Source organism: Homo sapiens, chromosome 2 (assembly GCF_000001405.40).
Source record: "Homo sapiens chromosome 2, GRCh38.p14 Primary Assembly".
Lineage (NCBI taxonomy): Eukaryota > Metazoa > Chordata > Mammalia > Primates > Hominidae > Homo > Homo sapiens.
In genome coordinates this window covers 231197133-231219473 of record NC_000002.12, presented here as the reverse complement: position 1 = coordinate 231219473, position 22341 = coordinate 231197133, and the positions used below count along the sequence as shown (strand labels likewise).

The window sequence follows — 22341 nt, the reverse complement described above, 5'->3', positions numbered from 1 at the left end:
ATCTAGCTAGGATTTGTATCTTCAATGTAGTAAGAGACAATAACTGTAAACCTAGTATTCTAATCCTATCTGAGAAAGCAATAAAGACACTGCAGTCAAACAAGAACTGAAAGAAGAGATCTTCAAGGAAAGGGGGTTTTAAAGACATGTACTTAAATAAGAGGAGACGACTATCCCAGATGGAAGAGGTCTTTAACACAAGATGGAATGATGAACAAAAATACTGGTAGCTATAAGGGAAAATCTACACACACTGATTGCATAAAATAGTAAAACTTCTTAATTTGTACATTTAAAATATATAACTAAGATACTTGACAAAAAAAAAAAGGACATAAATTGTGAAGGGGATGAATGAAGTTAATGCATTCTGAGTTCCTTGAATGTTCTGGAAGAAAATAAAGATTAAATTTAGACTTTATGGCTGGGCGTGATGGCTCATACGTGTAATCCTAGCACTTTGGGAGGCTGAGGCAGGCGGATCACCTGAGGTCAGGAGTTTGAGACCAGCCTGGCCAACATGGTGAAACCCCGTCTCTACTAAAAATACAAAAATTAGCCGGACATGGTGGCGTGTGCCTATAATCCCAGCTACTCAGGAGCCTGAGGCAGGAGAATCGCTTGAACCCGGGAGGTGGAGGTTGCAGTGAGCCAAGATTGAGCCATTGCACTCCAGCCTGGGTGACAAGAGTGAAACTCCATCTCAAAAAAAAAAACAAAAGACTGACTTGATTATGTATACATACTAAAATATCTGTGATTACCATTAAAAGAACATATGTAGACTAACAAAAGAAAAAAATGGAATAAAATGAATCTCCATGAATACGGAAGGTCATTAAATTCCTTAAACCACCAGAAGCTGAACTCCACCTTGGAACACCAAATCTGAGTGAGTCAAGCTGCCAGCTGCAGCCTCTGCTAGGCCCCATCCCCGATTCTGCCAGCTCTACTGCCACCTGGATCCAAGCTTTATCTATGCCACTATGCCAGAATATTCACGAACAGAATACTTAGGAACAGAAGTCTCACTGTGAGAAAATCTACCATCTCCTTCCAAGAATATTTATTTTTAGAAATTTTTTAATTTAATTTTTAATTTTTTAAAATTTATTTTTATTATTTTCTTTGTTTTATCCTCGAAGACATCTGAACCCTTCCAGATTTAATCACCTTCTTAACCACTTTTTTCTTCAACCTTCTGGGAGAGGAAGTAGGTAAAACTAAATCTAGAATGATCAAGAAAAAACAGCAAAAATTTCAACTTGGGCTACTCTACAAAAGGCCTGCTTTAATGAAAGCGGTCAACTAAGTAACCTTCAGTTTAGCAGTTACTATTCAGGAGGGATGAAAGTTGTTTTACAGAATTACAACTGAATGGGATGCTGAAATGTACTGGGATTTGGAAGAATTGCATCAGTTGCTGTTGAGTGAGAGTGACCTGGGTGACAGAATGAGACTCTGTCTCCAAAAAACAAACAAACAAGGCGCGGTGGCTCACGCCTGTAATCCTAGCACTTTGGGAGGCCGAGGCAGGTGGATCACCTGAGGTCAGGAGTTCAAGACCAGCCTGGCCAACATGGTGAAACCCCATCTCTACTAAAAATACAACAATTAGCCAGGTGTGCTGGTGCGCACCTGTAGCTCCAGCTAAACTCAGGAGGCTGAGGCAAGAGAATCGCTTCAACCCAGGAGGCAGAGGTTGCAGTGAGCCGAGATCGCGCCACTATACTCCAGCCTGGGCGACAAAACCAACCAAACAAACAAACAAAACATATGTGTGTTACAATTCATAGGACTATACATCCTGAAAAAGTCAATTCTGTGTGTGATAATGTAAAAATTGTTAGGTTGCCATTCGAGCAGGTGAGAATCCTTGCTTTCTGTAATTTTTTTTTTTTTTTTTGAGACAAGGTCTCACTCTGTTGCCCAGGATGGAGTGCAGTGGCACTCCTGGTTCACTGCAACCTTCACCTCCCGGGTTTGAGCAACTGTTCTGCCTCAGCCTCCTGAGTAGCTGGAATTACACACCCGGCTAATTTTTGTACTTTTAGTAGAGACGGGGTCTCCCCATGTTGGCCAGGCTGGTCTCAAACTCCTGGCCTCAAGTGATGCACCCACCTCGGCCTCCCAAAGTGCTGGGATTACACGTGTAAGCCACCGTGCTCAGCCAACTTTCTGTAACATTTTAACACTGGTACACATATGCCTAAAAACTACTTTTGTTTGCTTTGATGTATATACAAAGGGAATCACATAGCATGTCCTCTCTTGTATCTGGCTTAAGATTTCATCAATGTGTAATTTAGTTCATTCATTCTCATTGATGTATAATATTCCATTGTGTGAATATAATACAATGTATTTATGCATGCTCCTGTTGGTGTACAATTGGGTTGTTCCTAGTTTTTGCTATTACAAAGTGTTAATTACTATAACTCTTCCAGATTTAATGTATGTAGAAGTTGCAAACCACTGCTAGTATAGGATGGCAAAAACCAAACCTAACTAACCATCCAATAGGAGACTGACTAAACAAATTATGGTTATAACTAAAAATAATACTAATGTAAGCAAATTTTAGTTTTTTTAAAGCATCATTCAGAAGCCCCCAGCATACAGAAGGTAAAACCACAATGTCACCCAGGATCTGACACAAGAGTTAAAAGCTGACATTTACCTGGAAGAGTTCTTTAAATGAGGGGTGCACCATAGGGTTGGGAACAAAAGGAAGGGCATAGAAAGGAAGAAACTCTGTGGTCTGGCTCAAGGCTGCCCCTTTGGTCTCCAGGTAGGTTTTGAAGTAGGAAATCTTTTCATCCAGCTCCTCTTTGTCCTAGAAGAAGGGAAAACACTTGTTTGAGGTCTCCAGATCAATGCCCAGTCTATCTGCTCACCCCATCCTCTCTCTGAGGCTCCTTCTGTCCCAGTCGTGTCGCTGGCATCCCCTATCTAACCTGGCAGGTGCATTGTCTCTAGAATTCTACCATCCACCCTAAATTTCCCCCTTAATGAGACTATGTCAGGAAGATCAGACAACTATATATACAGTTCAATATGCTGCTTTTTAACTTTATTATTGCCATTTTCTCATGTCCTTAAAATTCTTCATAAACATTTTTAATGGCAGGACAAAACCTCATGTTGTCTATCACATTTATTTAACTAGCTTCCCCATTATTACCTAGACACATTGCTTCTACTTTTCAGATATAAATAAGTATCTGTCTGCATTACCATGCCTCCAGCAGGAGCGGTTTCTAAAGATTAACAGGCATTTCTTTATGGTGTTGGAAACAAAAGCTTCCAAGTCACTCCTTTCCTTTCTTGTGCTAAGGCCTGGGCTCGCTCTGTGTCACTACTCCATGTGGATCCCAGGCAAGTCAGTTCCCCTCTCGGGGCTTCTATCTCCTCTTGGCCCTCAATGAGAAAACCAGAGGAGGTGAATGTGGGGCTTTGCTCCCACACTGGCTCTACTAATCATGGCCTTCACAGTCTCGTACATAGACTAAGCCTGTTCTTACAAACACATCTCAGTTGACCTATACCATGAGCCCTCTTTTGACCCCCAGACTTAAACAGAAATACAAACAGAAAATGAAAATCTCCTGTGATCTTCCCTGCAAGAGTGATAACCTGAGGAAGAGCCTTCCAACAACGGCTACCACAATGTATGGTCCTGCTGCTCCCTCCACCACTGTCCCCACCGTTGGTGTTCTGACATTCTCATGTGTTCACCTTGGTCCATAGGGCAGTCATTAATGCACGGGGTCAAATGCCAGCTTGCCTCTGCTGCCCTTCTGTCATTTACTCTGCACTCAAAGCTCAGCCACCGCAGCAGCTTCACATTTCAGCCTTCTCCTCTCTTCCCATCTCCAGCCCCATCTGGGAAAGGACTACAGATGCTAAATTCAACCTATCACTCAAAAGGGCTTTCCACAAAGAGACGTACTCTTTTCCACTACCTAAGTTTAAATGTGTGTTCTGGCCAGACACAGTGGCTCACGCCTGTAATCCCAGCACTTTGGGAGGCCAAGGTGAGACGACTGTTTGAGCCCAGGAGTTCAAGACCAGCCTGGGCAACATAGCAAGACCCTTTCTCTACAATAAATAAGTAAATAAATTTATGTTCTAATATAGGGTCTAATATGCAGCTGAAATATATGTTCTCTTAGACATACACGCCTACATACTAAGTTGCCAAATAAACTTTATTTTGATGAGGTTTCAAAAACTTGAGGTATTTAGGAATATAGCTTTGATTACAGAAATTATTAAATCTCCATAGAAATTAGAATATAAACTGCTGGGAATACAGTAGAAAATCACTCACCAGGAGAGAGGATGCCTGTACCTCGTAAGCATTATGACAGCACAGCCACATATGAAATCCATGCCCATGTGGACAATGACAGCAAACACTGTTCCTTAACACACCACTCAGACCCACCCGCATCACCAGGTAAACCCACCGGTCTCCCCACAGAGTACTTCAAAAGATAGATGGCAAAATGGATGTGGAGATAGAATTCCAGCTTCTGGGCAAAGGAGTCCCCATCTCGGATGGAACTTGAAATGTGCTCCTCCCACAGATCGAAGAACACCTTCTGGTCTCCGTTGTCAAATGCAGCGACAAGATCCTTCTGTGGAGAAGACATCAGACTACATACCTCGTTGTAAATTTCAACACCCAAAATTCTCACAACCCACTCAACACCACAGATCTCCCATATACTCCTTTTCAGTGGTAAAGGATAGAAAAATAGAGATCCCACAGGATTCAAGCTCCTGAGCCTGCGATTCCTGCACACCAACCCTGGTTTCCCACACCTTTGCAATATCTAATCTGGGCACTATAAAGAACACACAAAACATTTAAGGTCTTTGAAATGGAAAGAATCAGGCACAGAACAAAGACTTGGGGCCAGAGAACTCTTGGACACGTAAATATACTGAAGTCACCCTTTGGACCTGCTGACCCACAGCGTGCAACTGACAAAAGCTATCCAGACCAAGTCTAGCCAGGCCTCCCAGGAACAAACCTCACAGGCATGGAAGGTTGCTGACAGCATGGCTCCACATCCTGGAGTGGCTGGGAGCCCACACACACTGACCCAGTCAATCCTGGGCCTAGGAGATAGAGCTGCCACTTGCCCCATTGCTAGAAGCACACCAGGCTGATATGGAGCTGAAGGAAGCCACCACAGACCCCATTATACCATAAGGTGACTGTCCACGCCTGCCAGCTGCAGCTGCAGCGACAGAGAAGGCTGGAGATGGAGGAAGGAGCACCGGCTCAGTGCCGTTTGACCACAGAGCTGTGTGAGTCCACCTGGGACAATGACAGCATCATGATTCAGCATGCACTAGTTCAAAGAATTCTGGAGAAAGGAGGTGGCAATTATCATGTCACCTGTCTCACAAGGAAGATAACTCACCTGTCACAAATATCTGTGGCATAATTTTGTGGATTTAAGTATCAGGCAGAAGTCAAAGAACTTCTTAAGAGTCCAAAACAATGCAGTTGCTACTGTTCTTTTTGTATCGAATGCCCAAGATATTTGTACTTACATTTTACGCTCAACTGCAACAGCGTTTCTGAGATTGGATTTTCTACAGAATCCCCACTTCCCCACCCAATACCATTGTTATTTACCACCATTATTGGCCATTGTTCTTTTATACTTCTAAAAATGAGTTTATGGGTGAGATGGCTCACACCTGTAATCCCAGCACTTCGGGAGGCCAAGGCAGGTGGATCACAAGGTCAGGAGTTCGAGACCAGCCTGATCAACATGATGAAACCCTGTCTCCACTAAAAATACAAAAATTAGCCGGGCATGGTGGTGCATGCCTATAATCTCAGCTACTCTGGAGGCTGAGGCAGGAGAATTGCTTGAACCCGGGAGGCGGAGGTTGGGGTGAGCCGAGATTGCGCCACTGCACTCCAGCCTGGGCAACAGAGCGAGACTCCATCTCAAAAAAAAAAAAACCAAAAAAGTGAGTTTACATGGCCGGGCGTGGTAGCTCACACCTGTAATCCCAGCACTTTGGAAGGCCAAAGTGGGCAGATCGTTTGCCCAGGAGCTCAAGACGAGCCTGGACAACATGGTGAAACCCTGTCTCTACAAAAAGTACAAAAATTAGCTGGGTGTGGTGACATGTGCCTGTAGTCCCAGCTACCCGGGAGGCTGAGGTGGGAGGACCATCTGAGCCTTGGAGGTAGAGGCTGCACTGAGCTGAGATCCCACCACTGGATTTCAGCCTAAGCAACAGAATGAGACCCTGTCTCAGAAAAAAAAAAAAAAAGAAAAAACGTTTACAGATAATTTTCCTGCATAATTGTCATTTTTAAAAATTACTTGTTTTATCTGTTTATAAGCAAATTTTCTAACATAAAATGGAAATGTATAGAGAACAAATAATGTAACAGTGTTTGGTTACACATAAGTCAAAGATGTTGATTGGTAAGGAATCCTCAAATCTGAATATTACAAAAATTTCACTATGTCATGTAATCAAGAACTGTCTCTGAATACTGCCTTACGCTGGAAGGTGCCAGTTACATTTCAAGTAAACTCAGAATTTTTCAAATAAGCCCTACAATGAGCATCTACCTCCTCAAGGCTGGCTCTTCTGTTCCTCCCGGACACAGGCGAGGGACAGTGTGTTAGCGCCTGTGGGTGAGGGTTGCCAAAACAAAGCACAAGCAGCTGAATGCAGGCACCCCTTGGAAGAATTTGGGGAAGCTGACCAGAGACCTGCATGCTTGTTAATGACTGCCACAAAGGTGAAGGGATCCTCCCAGGGGCAGTGCTGTGGGGCCAGGCTCAGCCCCATGCTTGCCTCTGCCAAGGTCCCAAGCAAACCCAGTGCCCATTCCTGAGGGGGCCTTGCCATGAGAAGTGCGGTGACCAAGAGCTCTCTGACTGTGTGGATGAGGTGAGCGCAGACTCTTGTGAAACGTTATGGCTTAAAGAAAAGTTATTTTATCAATGTGGCTTGGCAGAGTCCACAAGTCAAATGGCCCATCTACAGTTTGTTCTAAGGTCTATATTTGTAGACCTGAAACCACAAACCTTTGCTATGTCATTACAATCACATCTATCATTCTTCCTAACTCATGAATCACATTCTGTACCTGGAAATGGTCCCTGAGCTTAAAATAATACCCACACATAAAAGAATCTGCTATTATAACTTACAGTCACAAAATATTAGTGATGTTCTATAAACCATGATCAAAGCAGAATCAACAAGATGAGAAAATGTGTACACCATCAATAGTAACTTGTAGACACACACGCTTCTTATATCTCACAACAATGTAAACATACGTAACACTACTGAACTATACACATAAAACTGCTTGGGGAAACTCACTATTTTTTGAGTTCCACTAACAATTAGCATATTTTGCTGAACCTCAGTTCTACATATTTTTTTTATTTTTCTTTCTAAATTTTTTCCCCACTCTTCTTCATTCAACCCAGGCATTTTTCATTTGGGAAATCTACCATAGTGGGGGACACAGCTGTTGACTGGATGAGCAGAAAAGATATGCTTGTGACAATCAGAAAGTTTCAAGGTCTTTGAAGTTATATAAAAATAGACCTGAAGACATCAGAGAAATACAAATCAAAACTATGACAAGATATCACTTCAAACCCATCAAAATGGTGAATATTTTAAAAACACACAGAGAAAATAACAAGCATTGGCAAGGATGTAGAGAAACTGGAACGCTTATGTACTGCTGGTGGGAATGGAAAATAGTATAACCACTTTGTAAAACAGCTTGGCAATTCCTCAAAAAATTAAAAATAGAACTACCATATGATCCAGCAATACTTCTGGGTATACATCCAAAAGAACAGAAAGCAAGGCCTTAAAGAGATACTTGCACACCCACGTTCACTGCAGCACTATTTTTTTTTTTTTGAGACAAAGTCTCACTTTTTTACCCCAGGCTGGAGTGCAATGGTGTGATCTTGGCTCACTGCAACCTCTGCCTCCCAGGTTCAAGTGATTCTCCTGCCTCAGCCTCCCAAGTAGCTGGGATTACAGGTGCCTGCCACTATGCCCCGCTAATTTTTGTATTTTTTTTTTTTTTTTAGTAGAGGCGGGGTTTCACCATGTTGGTCAGGCTGGGCTTGAACTCCTGACCTCAGGTGATCTGCCCACCTCGGCCTCCCAAAGTGCTGGGATTACAGGCATGAGCCACCACGCCCAGCCCCAACAGCACTATTCTTAATAGCCAAGAGGTGGAAGCAACCCAAGTGTCCATCAACAGAAGAACAGATAAACTGTGGGGGTGTGTGTGTGTGTGTGTGTGTATGTGTTTGTGAATATATATCACAGATTATTATTCAGCCTTTAAAAGGAAAGGAAATCTTGTCATACATTGCAACATGAATGAACTTTGACGACATTATGCTGAGTGAAATAAGCCAATTACAGAAAGACGAATACTGCATAATTCCATTTATATGACATATCTAAAGTAGCCAATTCATAGACAGAAAGTAGAATAGTGGCTGCCAAGGCCTAGGGGGAGGATAAAGGCGGAGTTGTTAAATGGGGACAGAGTTTCAGGTTTGTAAGATGAAAAATTCTAGAGATCTGTTTCACAACAATGTGAACACATTTAACACTACTGAACTGTACACATAAGAATAGTTAACATGATACATTTTATGTTATCTTTAATCACAATTTTTTAAAAAGACCTAAAGAGACATTTGAGTGTTCTCAGATGCAGCTGGAGCTGAAATGCGATGGCAAACCAGTTGCGGAAAGTGTACAGCAGCCACCTCTGGAGGGACCGATATGCAAAGAAGCTTCAAGGCACAGGGCCTGTTGGCCTTACCCTGTATCATCACATCATCTGGTCATGTGTGAACTTCACAAAAGAGTCTCACTGTTCTGCTAGTTAGGTATTGAGGATTTGCTATATTCCTCTCAAATGGTAGCTTTAATTAAGAGATGCTCACCTATACTTCCAACGTGTAGGGTAAAGGTCTTTCTTCATCCAGAAAGAACCAGGGAAGCCAGGTGCTGGGGAGTGAAGCTGATTTCCTGAGGAACACACTTCACTCTAAGAACCTGTTTTCACCTCTACTAATGACTATATTCTTTTATGTTCTGAACATATCGTTCTAGGTGTGGGGGGTGCCAGGGAGGTCTGGCTGCTGTAGCATCCACAGAAGAGTCTGTGTTGACAGGAAGCAGCAGCAGCTCAGCATCCAGGGGCCAGAGGCCTGAAGCGGAGCAGGCAGAGGGTTCAGCCCTGCCTTGAGCTCCACGGGCCACTTCAAAAGTGCCCCTCTCTCAACAGCGCCCATGCCAGGCCACTGGGGAGTCAAGGACTAGGAGAAAACCAGCAGTGAATACCACTTGAACTCCAGCCACTCAAGGGGCTTGCAAGCCAAGCCTAAAATTATTTCTGGAAGTAGGTATGTTAAAATTTAAAAATCTGTTAAAATAATAAGGCCAGGTGCAGTGGCTCATGCCTATAATCCCAGTGCTTTGGGAGGTTGAGGCAGGAAGATCACTTGAGATTGGGAGTTTGAGACCAGCCTGGGAAACACAGCAAGACCCTGTCTCCACATAATTTTTTTTAATTATAAAAATAAAATAGACCAGGTGTGGTGGCCACATCTGTAATCCCAGCACTTTGGAAGGCTGAGGCGGGTGGATCACCAAAGGTCAGGAGTTTGAGACCAGCCTGGCCAACCTGGTGAAACCCTATCTCCAATAAAAATACTAAAACCAGCTGGGCATGATGGTGTGTGCCTGTAATCCCAGCTACTTGGGAGGCTGAGGCAGGAGAATCGCTTGAACCCAGGAGGCGGGGGTTGCAGTAAGCCAAGATCCTGCCACTGCACTCCAGCCTGGGCAACAGAGCGCAACTCCGTCTCAAATACATAAATAAATAATAAAATCATCCAAATGTGAAACATGCTGTCTCAGGAAATGGTACAGTCTCTAGTCAATGGAAATATTCTAGGTGAACTGATTACTTACCTGGCATATTACAAATGAGATTTAGACATCAAATAATGGTTAAAATAATGACTTTTTAATTTTTTTGGAGACAGGGTCTCACTCTGTCACTACAGCTGGAGTGCAGCAGTATGATCATGGCTCAATGCAGCCTTGATTTCCCAGGCTCAAGTGATCCTCCTACCTCAGCCACCTAAGTAGCTGGGACTACAGGTGCATGCCACCATGCTCGGCCAATTTTTTATTTTTTATAGAAACGAGGTTCTGGCTGGGCATGGTGGCTCACATCTGTAACCTCAGCACTTTTGGGAGGCCAAGGCGGGCGGATCACTTGAGGTCAGGAGTTCAAGACTAGCCTGGCCAATGTAGTGAAACCCCGTCTCTACTAAAAATACAAAAATTAGCCAGACGCAGTAGCACGTGCCTGTAATCCTAGCTACTAGGGAGGGTGAGGCAGGAGAATCGCTTGAATCCTGGAGGCAGAGGTGGTGATGAGCCGAGATCGTACCACCGCACTCCAGCCTGGGCGACAGAGCGAGAGACTCCATCTCAAAAAAAAAGAAAAAGAAACGAGGTCCTACTGTGTTGCACAGGCTGGTCTTGAACTCCTGGGTTTATGCGGTCCTCCTGCCTCAGCCTCCCAAAGTGCTGGGATTACAGGATTCAGCCACCATGCCTAGTCAAGGATTTTTAAGGTCCCTTCTAACCCTGAGAGTTGAGGTCTGTATAACCTCTGTGCCCCTGCAGCCCACTGGTATTCACAGAGCTATTCAGACTTCCTTTCACAGACCCGCCTTGTCAGTCTCACTCTTGCTCCCTGTTCCCTCCAACCTCCCCAAGCTAGAATGCAAATGCTGTGCTGGCAAGGGGCTGGATTTTGTTTGTTCACTGCTGGATCCCCAGTGCCTAGAATTAATAACCTGAAACTCCTCAGGAGGAAGGCTACAATTGTCTCAGTTCCTAAACACTGCATGGTTTCTTCTTTTCCTTCTTCCCAAGAAATGTTTGTGAAAGATCTTATATGGCCACACATTTCCTGGGGAGGGTACAGAGATTTAAAATGACATTATTAGTTCATCTATAAACACTTGTGCCATCTAAAGTAACTCTGAGCAAGTGCTCAAAAACTATTCTAGCACTATCCAACAGCAGCATTTTCCACAAGTTGGGAGCATCCTGAATTATCTACAGGGATGAAAAATAAGCAAAATGTTACCTGAATTGTCAATGATTTGGAGTCTCTGAAAGATCCGCCTACTGTTTTACACAATGGTTTTCCTTTTATTTTGCATTCTTTTGAAAATGTTTTCAAGGTGTCTTCAAATTCAGCAAAATCTAAATACTATAAAAAATAAATAATTCAATTCAACAGCAAAACAAACAAATAATCCAATTAAAAAACAGCCAAAGGATCTGAATAGATATTTATCCAAAGAAGACATTAAAAAGACCAACAGATACATGAAAAGGTGCTTAACATCACTAACAATCAGAGAAATGCAAATCAAAACCACAGAGACCTAATTACCTCACACCTGTCAGAATGGCTATTACAAAAAAGACGAAAGATAAAAAGTCTTGGCAAGGATGTGGAGAAAAGGAAACACTTGTGCACTCTTGGTGAGACTGTAAATTGGTACGGCCATTATAGAAAACTGTATGGAGGTTCCTCAAAAAAATAAAAATAGAACTACCGGCCAGGAGCCGTGACTCAAGCCTGTAATCCCAGCACTTTGGGAGGCCAAGGCGGGTGGATCACGAGGTCAGGAATTCGAGACCAGCCTGGCCAGCAAGGTGAAACCCCGTCTCTACTGAAAATACAAAAATTAGCCAGGCGCAGTGGCGCGTGCCTGTAGTCCCAGCTACTCGGGAGGCTGAGGCAGGAGAATCGCTTGAGCCCAGGAGGTGGAGGTTGCAGTGAGCAGAGAAAGCACCACTGTACTCCTGCCTGGGCGACAGAGTGAGACTCCATCTCAAAAAAAAAGAAAAAAAAAAGAAAAAATGGTATAGGCCAGGTGGCATGGCTCATGCCTGTAATCCCAACACTTTGGGAGGCTGAGGTAGGAGGATCGCTTGAGCCTAGGACTTTGAGACCAGCCTGGGCAACAAAGCGAGACCCCATCTCAAATAAATAAATTTTTAAAAGAAAATGTGTTATATAGGTAGGGTGCAGTGGCTCATGCCTGCAATCCCACAACTTTGGGAGGCTGAGGCAGGAGGATTGCTTGAAGCCAAGAGTTCAAGACCAGCTTGGACAACAGAGTGAGATCCTATCTCTACAAAAATTAGAATAAAACCTAGCTGAGCATGGTGGTGCACGTCTGTAGTCTCAGCTACCCAGGAGGCTGAGGCAGGCAGATTGCTTGAGCCCAGGAGTTCAAGGCTACAGTGAACCATGATGATGCCACTGCACTCCAGCCTAGGCGGCAGAACAAGACCTTGTCTCTAAAAAGATTTTTAAATGTAAATTTTTTAAAAAAGAATATATTCGCCATCACACCACCAAATTCCAAATCTGCAGTTGCACGGTGGGTGCCTCATCCCTGCTCCAGGCCCGTGGCTCTCGCAACCTGCAGGTGGTTACTCACACAGTTAAGCAGCAGCAAGCGCGAACCATTTCTTTAGCACCAGAAAGTTTAAGGCCTGGGCCCTACTTGTCAAAGCTTTTAGCGTAGGAAACCTAGGCCATTACCAGACAATGAGTTAAAAAAATTATGATGCAGCCACTCAATGAAATACTCTATGGCATTCAAATGTCTAGGGCCGATCATAGGCAGATGTTCATGCTATATTATTGTTGGCAGATAAAAAGCAAGCTACAGAACAATGTATCATCCCATTCTGTAAAACAAACTACAGGCATGTGAATATATTTTTACTATACATAGAAAAAAGTCTGGGAGGGAAATTTCCTTTTTATACTTCTGTAGTGCTTGAATCTTTTACCGTGGACGTGTATTGCTTTTATAATTTTCTTTCAAGGGACTTTTTAAGTGGCTTTAAGATTTGTTTAGTTATAAAACCAAAATGTAAATACATGGAATATTATATAATAGAAAAATAGCTCCAACATAACAATAGAAGAAACATTACAAGGCACTAAATAGTTTGTTGCATTTTAAAACACAAGTTTTCAAGATCTGTTTCTCTGTGACCTCTGCTTTGTATAATATACCTACCTCTTTCACTAGTCCAAGTAATTCAGATTCATGAGCCAGAATGTCCCCCATATTGAACTGTTACTGGTAATTAATTCTCACAGCAAAAATCTCTAGAAGGCAAAAATACAAGACAACAGCTTTCATTTCAACCACCTATGAAACTACAAAAAGGTGGTTGTGGTGAGCAGAATAATGGCCCCCAAAGACATCCATGCGCCAATCCCCAGAACCTGTGAATACGTGAGGTTACACGGCAAGGGGGAATTAAGGTGCAGATGGAATTAAGGTTGCTCATCAGCTGACCTTTAAATTGGGGGATGATCCTGGATTACCCAGGTGGGCCCAAGGCAGTCACAGCAGAGGGAGGGGGGCAGACGGAGGCAAGAGGGTCAGTGCCAGCATGATGAGATGTGAGAAAGACTCAACAGCCACTGCAGGCTTTAAAGGGGATAAAGTGGCATAAGACAAGGAGGGTAAGGAGCCTCTAAAAACTGCATAAGGCAAGGAATAGATCCTCCCACTGCATCCAGAAATGATCCAGCACTGCAGACACCTTGACTTCAGCTCAGTGAAAGCCATTTCAGACTTCTGACCTCCAGAACTAGAAGATATTAAATCTTTGTTGCTTGACACCACTCAGTTTATGGTCATTTGTTCAGCGGCACTAGGAAATACAATGGCTAAAGTCAAAAGAAACTCTTCCTACTCTTTCTACTAGCCCTCCCTCAAGGTGTACCCAAAGCAGTCATTCCCCATGGCCCACACCCCAGGCTCAGCCCAAAGCAGTTGCCCGTAACCCCAGAGGAATGAAAAGGTCTGGGCTCTAATGTTAACCATGCCATTCACTGGCACCTGATCTGAGACAACTCACTGAAGTGCAGAGCCTTTCTTCATCTATAAAATTCAGAATGTGTCAGAACTCATCGAATTTTTTTTTTGAGATGGGATCTCACTCCGTTGCCCAGGATGGAGTGCAATGGTGCAATCATAGCTCACTGCAAGCTAAAACTCCTGGGTTCAAGGGATCCTCCCTCCTCAGCCTCCCCAGTGGCTAGAACTATAGGTGCATGCCACCATACCCAGGTAATTTTTTTTTTTTTTTTTTTAAGTAGAGACAGGGAGACAGGGTCTTACTAAGCTGCCAAACTCCTGGGTAATGCAATCCTCCCGCCTTGGCCTCCCAAAATGCTGGGATTATAGGCGTGAGCCACCACACTCAGTCAGATCTCTTCTGAGTCTGTAACCTTACATTTTTCTGCCACTGCCTCCCCACCTCCTTTCTCTCCACTTCAATCCAATTTCTACACTTTTAACAAGTGAGCATTCCCCTCCTGCTTGGGACCCTCCTGTGGTTCCAGCGCCCTCCAGATGAAGGCCAGGCTCCTTAGGCTCAACTCCCAAAGCCCTAGACAACTTGGCCTCTGACACACTCCCATTTGTTCTGTAAACCTGAGCCACACTGGCCACTGTGTGGTTCCTGTGGACACCCACTGAACACCCAAAGCACACGCCTGCCCTCGTGAACTCTGGCTCACTGCCCTTCCTTCAGATACGTCTCATTCAGGTCTCTGCCTAACTGTCACCTCCTCAGAGAGTCTTGCCCTGACCACCCTTTCTAAGAGGTCGGCCCATCACTTCTCAGCCCTTTGTACTGCTTGATTTTTCTCAACAGCACCTGACAGGTGTTCCCCTGTGCCTAGACCAGTGCCTGGCACACAGTACAGGCTCAAAAACATGGACGGAGTGGAAATTGATTCCAGACATGAAGAAAACAGCGCAAGGAAAGGGACAGAACCTGAAGGAGACGGGTATGGGGTTATTTTAGATAGAGTGGTTGATGGCCTCACTGGGAATGTGACATTTCAGCAAAGATTGAGCACCTGGATCTGGGGAAGATGGCTTTGTTAGTGCACAGGCCTCAGGCTGAAGAGCTCTGCAGTCTTGGGGTATTGGGATGTAGCTAGGGGTGAGGCAGACAGCAGCAGGCAATGGGGGGCCGGGGCCAGGTCAGGTGGGCCTTACAGAGCTGGTAAGTGGCTTGGACATTAGGCTGACAGTAACAGGAGGCTCAGAGAGAGTATGGAGGAGGGGACTGACACCACTGATGTCCTTTTTTTTTTTTTTTTTTTTTCCTGAGACAGAGTTTCCCTCTGTTGCCCAGGCTAGAGTGCAGTGACATGATCATAGCTCACTGCAGCCTCAAACTCCTGGACTCAAGCAGTCCTCCCACCTCAGCCTCCTGAGTAGCTGGGCCTACAGAGTGTGCCACTATGCCCCAAGTCTTTTGTTTTCTGGTTTTTTCATTTGTTTGGTTTTTGGTGAGGTTTTTTTTTGTTTGTTTGTTTTTGAGACAGAGTCTCGCTGTTGTTGCTTGGGCTGGAGTAGAATGGCACAATCTTGGCTCACTGCAACCTCCACCTCCGGGGTTCCAGCAATTCTCCTGCTTCAGCCTCCCGAGTAGCTGGGATTACAGGCACCCGCCACCATGCCTAGCTAATTTTTGTATTTTTAGTAGAGACGGGGTTTTACCACGTTGGCCAGGCTGGTCTCGAACTCCTGACCTCAGGTGATCCACCTGCCTCGGCCTCCCAAAGTGCTGGGATTACAGGCATGAGCCACCACGCCCAGCCTTGGTTTTTTCAGAGACAGGATTTCACCATTGCTCAGGCTGGTCTTGAACTCCTGGGCTCAATCCTCCCTCCTCTGCCTCCCAAAGTGCTGGGATTACAGGGGTGAGCCACCACGCCCGGCTGCTGATGTCCATTTTTTAATATGCATGTTGCCTGCTCTACAGAGAAGACTGGAGGGGAGTGGGAAGAGGGAGATGAGTACTGCTCAGGCCACGCCAGCCATGAGCATCATTTGGATAAGCAAGAGGGGCCATGAGCGCTGTGAGTCCAGATGGAAAAGGCAGAAGAGGCACAATCTGCAGACCAGTTAGTTGTGGGACATGAGGGGAAGAAGGGAAGGAAGAACCCTGGGATCTGAGCAGCTGGCCGAAGAGTATGTGATTTGCTGAGTCAACGAAAACCTGGGGAAGGACTGTTTTGAGGTCAAACCAAGAGCTCTGTTTTGGCTATAAGTCTGAGCTGCCTGTTAGACATTCCAGTGGAGGTTCCGAAATGGTCAGTGGGTATTGTAAGAACCAAAGAAAGAGGAGAGAGGAGAGAAACACGAAGGGTGGCTCGACAGTCAACAGGTTTATTTCAAACCTGGGAGGGACTTCCGACCGAGTTAGGTCAGAGCCACACTCTCCTACAGACTAAGAGTTTTTAAGGATTCAGGGTGGGAGAGTTTATCAAAGGCTTGAACTGTTTCTGTGTCTCTCTGTTGTGCTTATCTGGGAGGGAGAGTTGTGTGTCTGTTCCTATACAACTTTCTGCAGCTGCAGGCATACCCCCCAAGTCTGCTTTTAGCTTCCCTTAGTGCACCTGAAGGGAACAGAATGTCCTTATTAAGGCCCACTGTTATACTGAGGCCCATTGTAAGAGGGTGAAGTTTGGCCGTTACCCAGGAAACAAACCTGTTGACTGTCAAGTCACCCTTCGTGTTTCTCTCCTCTTTCTTTAATTCTTACAGATATATGAGCCTGGAGTTTAAGGGAGAAGCAGGAACGGCATTCAGAGGGATAGCAGAGAATATGGGTGCTGAGCAAAGACACAGATTTAGTGATTAGAAGTGAAACAGGCTGGGTGCAGTGGCTCACACCTGTAATCTTGGCACTTTGGGACACCAAGGCAGGCAGATCACTTGAGCTCATGAGTTCGAGACCAGCCTGGGCAACGTGGTGAAACCTCATCTCTACAGAAATACAAAAATTAGCTGGGTGTGGTGGTGTGTGCCTGTAATCCCAGCTACTGGGGAGGATGAGACAGGAGGATCACTTGAACCAGGAAGGTCAAGGCTGTAGTGAGCCGGGATCACGCCATGGCACTCCAGCCTAGGTGACAAAGTAAGACCCTGTCTCAAAAAAAAAAAAAAAAAAAAAGTGAAACAAGAAACAAGATCAGCTGGGCACGGTGGCTCACGCCTGTAATCCCAGCACTTTGGGAGGCCAAGGCAGGCAGATCGCCTGATGCTGGGAGTTCAAGACCAGCCTGACCAGCATGGTAAAACCCCATCTCTACTAAAAATACAAAAATTAGCCGGGTGTGGTGGCAGGCACCTGTAATCCCAGCTACTCTGGAAGCTGAGGCAGGAGAATCGCTTGAACCCAGGAAGTGGAGGTTGCAATGAGCCGAGATCGTGCCATTGCACTCCATCCTGGGCAACAGAGTGAGACTCTGTCAAAAAAAAAAAAAAAAGAAAGAAAGAAAAAAGGTCATCGGCTGCAAGTAAGAAGCATGGTGACAGTTCGAAGAGAAGGGAGAGTGGGAACGGAAGGGAGGGTGGGAACCAAAGCGACTACAGCAACATGGCAGGGTTGCTGGTATTATAGTCCATTTAAGATCTCTGCACTTGAATCTAAAATGGAATCAGTCTGCACAGTTTTGCAGCTCTTCTCCAGGCACTTTCAGCTATCTGAGTTAGGTTAACCAATGTGAGAGGTTCTTCTAGAAGAGAGAGGAAAGGGAAAACAGTACAACCACGATGGGACACTGGAACTAATCAGGTTAAGAATGGGGGAGGGGAACACACATAAGGCGGCTGCAGAGCAGTGAGGAAGCAGTGGGGTCTGAGACCTGCTGAAGGAGGCACATTCCAGTGAGTGTGAAAGATGGAAAGGAGTGGGCAGAGAGTGGGACAGATGCCTGAAGGCAAGACTTTGAAGGTGACTAGTACTAAAAAGCTCCCGACCACGGGAGTGGGCAGATGAGGAGGATGGAGGAAAGAGACGCCTGCAAGTAAGGAGGATGAAGAAACTGGAGGGGCCAGGATGTGGAAACCCCCAAAAGTGAAGTAAAAGAGATGAAGGGATAGGCAGCCAGCCGGGTGCTGGAGGCTCCAAGGGAACTGGAGAGACTTGCCCTGGGAAGTGGCTACCTCAGGGAGGGCTGGCAAGGGGTATGGCATCTGCCATGTGCTTCAAAGGAGCTGGGGTTTGTGAAGGAGTGGGTAGTGATCTGGAAGCAGTAATGAGGAGCAGGGAGGACACCTCCCCATGCACCACACCAGCCCTGCCAGATGCAAAAGGGGAGAGAAGAAAGGCAGCTGCTCCTGGGGGACACCCACCTCTCCAGCCTTTTTCTGGACCATGCCTCCAATCCATCCACCTCCCCCTACCTGATCCCTCTCCTTGCTCCCTTCCACCAATCCCACACTGGACCCTGCCAACAGCGAACTCCTGGCCATTCCCCCATGCAACAAGCTCTTCCAGGATCCTAAGCCTGTGGTTGATGTATGCTCTGCCCCCCCAGGCAAACATGACTCATGATTCTAAGCCAAGCCAGATTTAATCTCTTTTCAAGAAGTCTTCCATGAAAAACCCCTCCCTTCTTTCCCTACCAAGGCTTTTTTTTTTTTTTCTTTTTCTGAGATGGAGTTTAGCTCTGTTGCCCAGGCTGGAGTGCAGTGGCGGGATCTCGGCTCACTGCAACCTCCACCTCCTGGGTTCAAGTGATTCTCCCACCTCAGCCTCCCAAGTAGCTGGGGTTATAGGCATGCGCCATGACGCCCAGCTAATTTTGTTGTTTTGAGATGGAGTTTCACTTTTGCCGCCCAGGCTGGAGTGCAAAGGTGCAATCTGGCTCACTGCAACCTCTGCCTCCCAGGTTCAAGTGATTCTCCTGCCTCAGCCTCCCAAGTATATGGGATTACAGGCGTCCGCCACCAACGCCCAGCTAATTTTTGTATTTTTAGTAGAGACAGGGTTTCACCAGGTTGGCCAGGCTGGTCTTGAACTCCTGACCTCAAGCGATTCACCCACCCAAAGTGCAGGGATTACAGGCATGAGCCACTGCACCTGGCACTTCTTATAACCCTGTTCACAAAGACAGGGAGCTGTATTTCAACTTCATATCCCCAGAACCTAACAGAGTGTCTAGTAAGCAAGAAAGGTACTCAAGGCATATAATGAATAAATGAAGCCGGAGCTGAGGGGATGTCATTTTAAAGGCCCTGGAACGGGAAAAGTGAGTTTCTGAGAATTTGAAACCTTGAGGCCAACCTCAAGGCCTTTGCGCATATTACTCTCTCCGCCTAGAACACTCTTCCCTCTCTTCACCTGGTTAACCACTGTGCCTAATAAACATCACCTCCTTAGAGTAGACCTCCCTAAGCCGTTTAAATAGTATCTGCTGTGATCAACTGTCATTGAATGTGAGTGCTGCTGGGTATCCTATTACTCAACATTCTTAGAAATTACAGAATTGGCCAGGCACAGTGGCTCACACCTGTAATCCCAACACTTTGGGAGGCTGAGGCAGGCGGATCACCTGAGGTCAGGAGTTCGAGACCAGCCTGATCAACATGGTGGAACCCCATCTCTACTAAAAATACAAAAATTAGCCGGGCGTGGTGGCGTCTGCACCTGTAATCCCAGCTACCAGGGAGGCTGAGGCAAGAGAATCGCTTGAACCCAGGAGGTGGAGGTTGCAGTGAGCCGAGATCATGCCACTCCACTCCAGCCTGAGCGACAGGGAAAGACTCCGTCTCAAAAAAAGGAAAAGAAAAAGAAATTACAGAATTTTCTCTAAACTTTTATATCATAATAGGTATCATTTATTGAAGGTATATGGTATGCCAGGCAATGTGCAAAATGTTTTACATTTAACCTTCATAGTAAACCTGACAGGTGAATATAGTTTATATTTTCCCATTCCAGATGAGGCAATTTGAGGCCCAGGAAGTCTGACACACTCCCAACAGCCACAGTAAGTGACTAAGCGGCTGAAAAGAACCACTACACAGTATTTCCCAAAGTCTGGACCACCTAAATCAGAATCAGCTGGCACGCTTGTGCAAATGAAAATTCCTGCCTCCACCCTGGTCTTACTGAACACCGTGGCAGGCACCATGCCCAGAAATCTGCCTTTTAAACAAGCTCCCTGAGTGACTTTTACACACTCTCAAGTTTGAGAACCAGTGCTCTCCTTTATGCGGAAACTAAGAAAAACTTTTCCAGTTACATTTGGGGATTGCAGCGGCAGCTTTTGAATTCCTATATAAGAAAGATTTAGGGCCCACAAACGGGTGGGATTATGGGATTTGTATGGAAGCCGAATCTGCATAGCACGCATCCTGTTTTTCCTAAGATTAGGTGAAGTCTGGACTTCAACTGGGTGCCTCAGGAACGCGGCTAGCAGATGGAGATTATCAGGGGGATCTAAATCCCGGATAACCCGCTCGCGCCGCCACCACCAGCTGGATGGCTTGAGGGACCCCCTCCAAGTATGGCCCACTGCAGCAAAGATCAGGGACTACTTGCGGGAAGCAGCTGGGCCTGTCCTTTCTTGGGATGTCCAGGCGGCCGCCTCGGCCCTTGCCGAAGAAAGATCCCTGGACCGCAGGCGAGAAGTGGTAGCATCCGGCGGCGGCGGAGCGGGCGCGTCGGGTTTTTCCTCGGAACAAGAGGTCCGCAGAGCCTCGGCCCTCCAAACGCACCGCTGCTCCTCCCAGCACCAGGACGGCGGGCGGAGGGTGGCCCGGCTGCATCCGGGGACGCGCTTACCTGCTGCTCGGCCGCGGACACTCGCGCTATCCCAGCCCGGCCGCCACCTCCGCAGCCGTCACCCGGGCAACCGCCGCCGCCACCCCGGCGTCACGTGGGGGCGGCGCAGCCAATCGCGCGGGGCGCCGCCGACGCGGAGCAGCCTGGGAGGGAAGGTGGGCGACCCCGAAACTTCCTGGCGGCGGAAGTGAGGGTCCACAGCCCAGCAGTGGTGAAGGTTCACGCGCTGGATGACCGCGTCTTCTGTGGTCCTCTCCACCACTCCACTTTCGTTCGTTCATTCATTCGTTCATTTCCCTTTCGTTGCGCCAGTCGCTGCGCCGGCTCTCGGGATGAGCCGGAGCAGGCTCAACCCCTTGTCTCAAGGAGCTCGTGGTCGCGTAGAGAACACAAACTAGGACAGTGTGGTGTCCGTGGGGAAAGAGTCAGGCATGGTTATTCCCATCTTAAAGGAGGGACCTGGGGCCACCTTAGAACCAAAAGTGACGCCCAAGATGTGCATTAAAGCTCCGGGGACCAGGGTCCCGCCCCACTGCAGCGGTTTCCAAGGATTTCAGAGAAACTTTTTGTTTTCCATGTCAAATGTGGGCTATTAAAAATAAATCAGGAGCACACGTCTTCCCTCTCTTTGCACCTGATGCTTTTGAACTGAAGTTCATCAGCACTGAATGAGCACTTGCTAGTCACCCAACTTTGTGCTGGAGGGTGAAGAGATGGCCATGGATAGAAAATCCCTCCCCTCCAGGCGTTGAGATTCCGTGGGAGTCTCTCGTTGCCACCTCAGTGTTTCCACCTCCATGCTTCCAAGAAGGAGGAGGCTACCAGGGCCAGAGACAGGGAATGGGGCACGGAGAAGGTAGGTCAGCTCGCCTTTGAAGAAGCCCTAAGATGGGCTGTGGCCACCACTTCCCCAGTCCCCAACCCTGCCAGTGGATTGTCTTCCAAAAGAAAAAAAGCTGTATTTAGTAGAAGAGAGCCCTATCTTCTGTCCAGGTAATATGGATTGAAAATAAATCTTCAATCCATGGCCATAATATTTATCGTCAACACAACTGTATGCCGGGAGATGCCAGACAAAATATAGAACACACAGTTAAATGTAAATTTTAGATAATGTTTTAGTGTAAGTAAATCCCAAAAACTGCTTCATTTTATTGTGCATGTAGGATGTTATATTGTTCTGTATTTTTGTTTGCAAAACGTGCAGCCTATATGTGTGCCCAGCATTGTGCTAAGTGAATCATATAGATTGTTTTCTTTAGTTCTCACACCAGGCCCGGCACGGTGGCTCACACCTGTAATCCCAGCACTTGGGAGGCCAAGGCAGATGGATCACCTAAGGTCACAAGTTTCAGACCAGCCTGGCCAACATGGTGAAACCTGTCTCTACTAAAAATACAAAAATTAGCTGGGCGTATTGGCATGTGCCTGTAGTCCCAGCCACTCGGGAAGCTGAGGCAGGAGAATCCTTGAACCCGGAAGATGGAGGTTTCAGTGAGCCGAGATCACGCCACTGTACTCCAGCCTGGGCAACAGAGTGAGACTCTGTCTCAAAAAAAAAAAAGT

At 46.2% G+C, this 22341-nt stretch overlaps 1 protein-coding gene across 10 annotated transcripts in view, besides 1 other annotated feature; it reads right to left on the bottom strand.

Moving 5' to 3' along the window:
- ARMC9 (armadillo repeat containing 9) overlaps positions 1-20843 on the bottom strand; it is a 178218-nt gene extending 157375 nt beyond the window's left edge. For 5 of the 10 annotated variants that reach the window (NR_148040.2, NM_001352754.2, NM_025139.6 and 2 more), the window contains exons 1-5: positions 20776-20843; positions 13185-13276; positions 11222-11347; positions 4473-4643; positions 2681-2836 (exon numbers count right to left, since the gene is read on the bottom strand). Coding sequence is in view for 9 of the 10 variants with exons in the window: in NM_001352754.2 (NP_001339683.2) it covers positions 2681-2836; positions 4473-4643; positions 11222-11347; positions 13185-13235 (504 nt within the window). In the remaining variant the exon portion in view is untranslated. Of the gene's footprint in view, positions 1-2680; positions 2837-4472; positions 4644-11221; positions 11348-13184; positions 13277-20528 lie in introns of all 10 variants that reach the window. The other 5 variants (NM_001271466.4, NM_001352756.2, NM_001291656.2 and 2 more) reach the window with 3 other exon arrangements.
- Positions 20698-21037: a silencer, noted in NCBI's record as "silent region_12424". NCBI's record gives its function as "represses an Ori minimal core promoter by ATAC-STARR-seq in GM12878 lymphoblastoid cells {active_cell/tissue: GM12878}" and the evidence as "EXISTENCE:reporter gene assay evidence [ECO:0000049][PMID:35858748]".